The following is a 3,797-nucleotide window of genomic DNA, read 5'->3' as shown; positions in this document are numbered from 1 at the left end:
ACAGGCTGCAGGCCCCATGCAAGTCCAAAGCCCAGCAGGGCAGTCATTAAATCTCAAAGCTCCAAAATAATCTCTTTTGATGCCATGTCTCAAATCCAGGGCATAATGATGCAACTGATGGGCTTCGAAGGCATTAGGGAGCTCTACTCTGTAGCTTTGCAGGGTACAGCCTCCATCACTGCTTTTAAACGTGGCATTGAATGCCTGAAGCTTTTCCAGATGCAAAGTGAAAGCTGCCAATGGAACTACCATTCTGGGGTCTATGCAGGATATGCAGGTTTGTTACATAGGTAAATGTGTGCAGAGGAGACAGTAATTTTTACCATTCCTACAAATTGTTTACAGACAGAGAAGCCCAAAGTCTGGCTGGCAAGAAACTTTCACCCTTTTTCTGGCATGCCAGGCTTCAGGGTTCCCTTTCCCTGAGAGGCCCTAGCCACCCTGCTTACCACACCGTATCCCTGGGGGCCAAGCTGCAACACAAAGGAAAATCGTCTGTTTCCTTTTCATGGAAAATTTAAATTAGACACAACTCATTTTCCTTTGTTAGAAAGTTAAGATTTGTACTGCATGTTGCTGTGTGTGTCGTGTAAAAGGGGAGCCAATAAAGAGGTTATCTACATACTATAGAAGTTATCCTCCCTCAAGAGATTGCTTTGTTAGAATTTTGCTAGGGCTTGTCTGAATAAGTGTGGACTATTTCTAAACCCCTGAGGTAAGACCATCCAGGTTGAAGTTATTGGTTAAAGATTTAGGTACCATTCCCTGGATAAATAGTGCTATTAGAGAGAAAAATGAATTCAGAGGTGGTGTAAATACTAAGTGAGCACTGATCTTGGAAAGTGTACTTTTGCTCCAAAGAGGTGTGGGGTATTTAGACATTACCAGGGACCAGTGAGAGCATGGTAATTGGTCCCTTAGGTAATATAAAGGGGTATGAAGATAAACAGTATTACAAAGGAAAACTTTTTTTTTAAGGTTCAGGGAAATCAAACTTTTCCCAGCTTTGGGGGATGCATCCAAGGGGCATGTCCTGTGGTATGGAGATGTGATTACCCATCTGCCACCTGTGAAGACAGAACAGAGGAAAAATAAAAAAGGAAAAGGAAGGCATCCTCCCCTTTTTTTCTATTATCCTGAATGGAGTGTCCCCCATTGTCCTTGGGTTCCAGAATGAACTCGTCTTACTGTGTACCCTTGATCTCAACTTGTCACAACTTTCTGCTTTAGAACAGAGGAGATACTGGAGTGAAGAGTGGGCCCCCTGTTTATGCTTGGAGTTCCAGAATAACTTGCCTTACCATGTACTTCCTAAGCTTTCATCTCTCTTCCAATGATAATCTGTTAGCCTGGGACCACCCTTCATCTCTGTCTTATTGGTCTCTGTGTCTGCGGACTTGAAGCCTTGGGCCAGCCTATATCCTTGTCTCCATGACCTTATGGTGACTGTCACTCAAAGTATTTTAGTAATAAAATGATTATCTCTTTTTTTTTTAGATTCCCATTTCTCATGTTCATTTAAGTAGACCAGAAGCCTGTTTTTCAGCTGTCTCAAGGAGGCTGGATTTCCCTCCCTGCTCCCTTTAAATATGACCTTGGAGGTCTTGATACATCTTGAGAAGGGCATGGAAATAATTAGAGAACTGGAAGCTACAGGAAGAAATGGGAGAAAGTGAGAGGAATACTCATGAAAAGCCTTGATATGCTCACAAAAACAGCAGACCTTGGATTCAAGAGGGCCACGTTTATTTACACTCGATATAAAATAGCAACCTCTGGAGGATTTGGGGCTCAGGGTAAGAACTTGCAAATGGCAAAGGCAGAATTTCTCCTCTCAAAGGGTGCTAACTCAAAAAACCAAGTAGGTGGGATCCTTAAAGTGCCAGAATGAAGCCCTATGCAGGTGAACAATCTGCTTTAAGAGCCACCAGAAAATGCAGCCCTGGGGCATAACAGGAAGGAAAAGCATATGCTAAGTCATAAGGAGCTAGCAGAGTTCAGCCTGACACTAATTGGAACTGCTGTTAGTTGACTATCACAATTGGAACTGCTGTTCCAATTAATGTCTGTCTTGACCATGTGCCAGCAGACAGGGGAAGGGTTGGAGGTTATCTGACCTGGTAGGGTAAGAACTAGTGTAAATCACAGGGGATATCCACAGGGAAGCACATGTCTTTGCTGCCACACAATTGCACAGAACCACAGGTGCACAGATAACAGTGAGTGTGTTTTTAAGAACTTATGTAGCATACAACATGAAAGCAAAGAGGCAGACTCTCCCTGAAGGGAGATGGTCTGGTGGGTGCACATGGCCATTTCAGAGCACACACAGAGAAAACAGAAGAATGGGTAGTGCAGGTTTTTGGGAAAGAGATGATTTTAGTTGATTAAGCAAAGGAAACCCTAGTCATTAGGATACTTACAATCATGGTGGAAGGTAAAGGGGAAGCAAGCACATCTTACCATGGTGGATCAAGACAAAAAGAGAGCAAAAGTGGAAGTGCCATGAACTGTTAAACCATTAGGTCTCATGACAACCCACTCACTATCACAAGAACACCAAGGGGGAAATCTGCCCACATGATCCAGTCACCTCCCACCAGGTCCCTCTCCTAACAGTGGGAATTATAATTCAACATGAGACTTGGGTGGGGACACAGAGCCAACCCATATCAAACCCTTTACCATTACATCATGCCCTTCTTGGTCTTTTTTGGTATTTGTTGGTTTAAAATCTGTTTTGTCTGAAATTAGAATAGCAACCCCAGCTTTTTATGTTTTCTATTTCCTTGGTAGAATTTTCTCCCTTACTTTTACCCTATGGGTGTTATTGCATGTGAGATGGGTCTCTTGAAGACAACATACCATTCTGTCTTGCTTCTTTATCCAACTTGCCACTCTATCTTTTAACTCAGGCATTTAGCCCATTTACGTTTAAGGTTAGTATTAACGTGTGTGTGTGTTTTCCTGTCATAATGTTGTTAGCTGATTATTGTGAAGACTTGTTTGTGTGGTTGCTTTATAGTGTCACTGGTCTGTGTACTTAGGTATGTTTCTGTAGTGGCTGGTAGTCATCTTTCCTTTCCATGTTTAGCACTCCATTCAGTACCTCTTGTGAGGCAGGTCTAGCATATCACATTTCCTTAGCATGTGCTTATCTTGAAAGGGTATTATTTCTCTTTGGTTTATAAAGCTTAGTTTGGGTGGATATGAAATTCTTAGTTGGAAATTATTTTCTTTAAAGATGCTGAGCATAGGCCTGCAATCTGTTCTGGCTTGTAGAGTTTCTGCTGAAAGGTCTGCTGCTAGCTTGCTGGTGTTCTCTTTGTAGGTGACCTGCCTCTTTGCTCTAGCTTTCTTGAACATTTTTTCTTCCATTTTGACCTTGGAGAATTTAATGATTATATGTCGGAATAAGTCTTCTTTTGTGGTATTTTGTCGGTGTTCTCTGCATTTCCTGAATTTGAACGTTGGCCTCTCTAGAGACGTTTGGGAAATTTTCATAGATAAAAGCCTGAAATATATTTTCCAAGTGGCTTTTTTTTCTTTTCCTCTCTTTCAGGAACACAATACATCATAGATTTGGTCTCTTTACATAATTCCATATGTCTCAGAAGTTTTGTTCATTCTTCATTATTTTTCTGTTTTTGCTTGATGATTTTGGAAACTGATTTTTGAACTCTGAAATTCTTTTCTCGGGTTAGTTGATTGTGCTGTTAATACTTGTGATTTTATTCTAAAATTCTTAAAGTGAATATTTCAACTTTATCAAATCACTTTGGTTCTTTCTTAGAACT

This window comes from Homo sapiens, chromosome X (assembly GCF_000001405.40).
Source record: "Homo sapiens chromosome X, GRCh38.p14 Primary Assembly".
Taxonomy (NCBI): Eukaryota; Metazoa; Chordata; class Mammalia; order Primates; family Hominidae; genus Homo; species Homo sapiens.
This window is presented reverse-complemented; position numbering follows the sequence as displayed.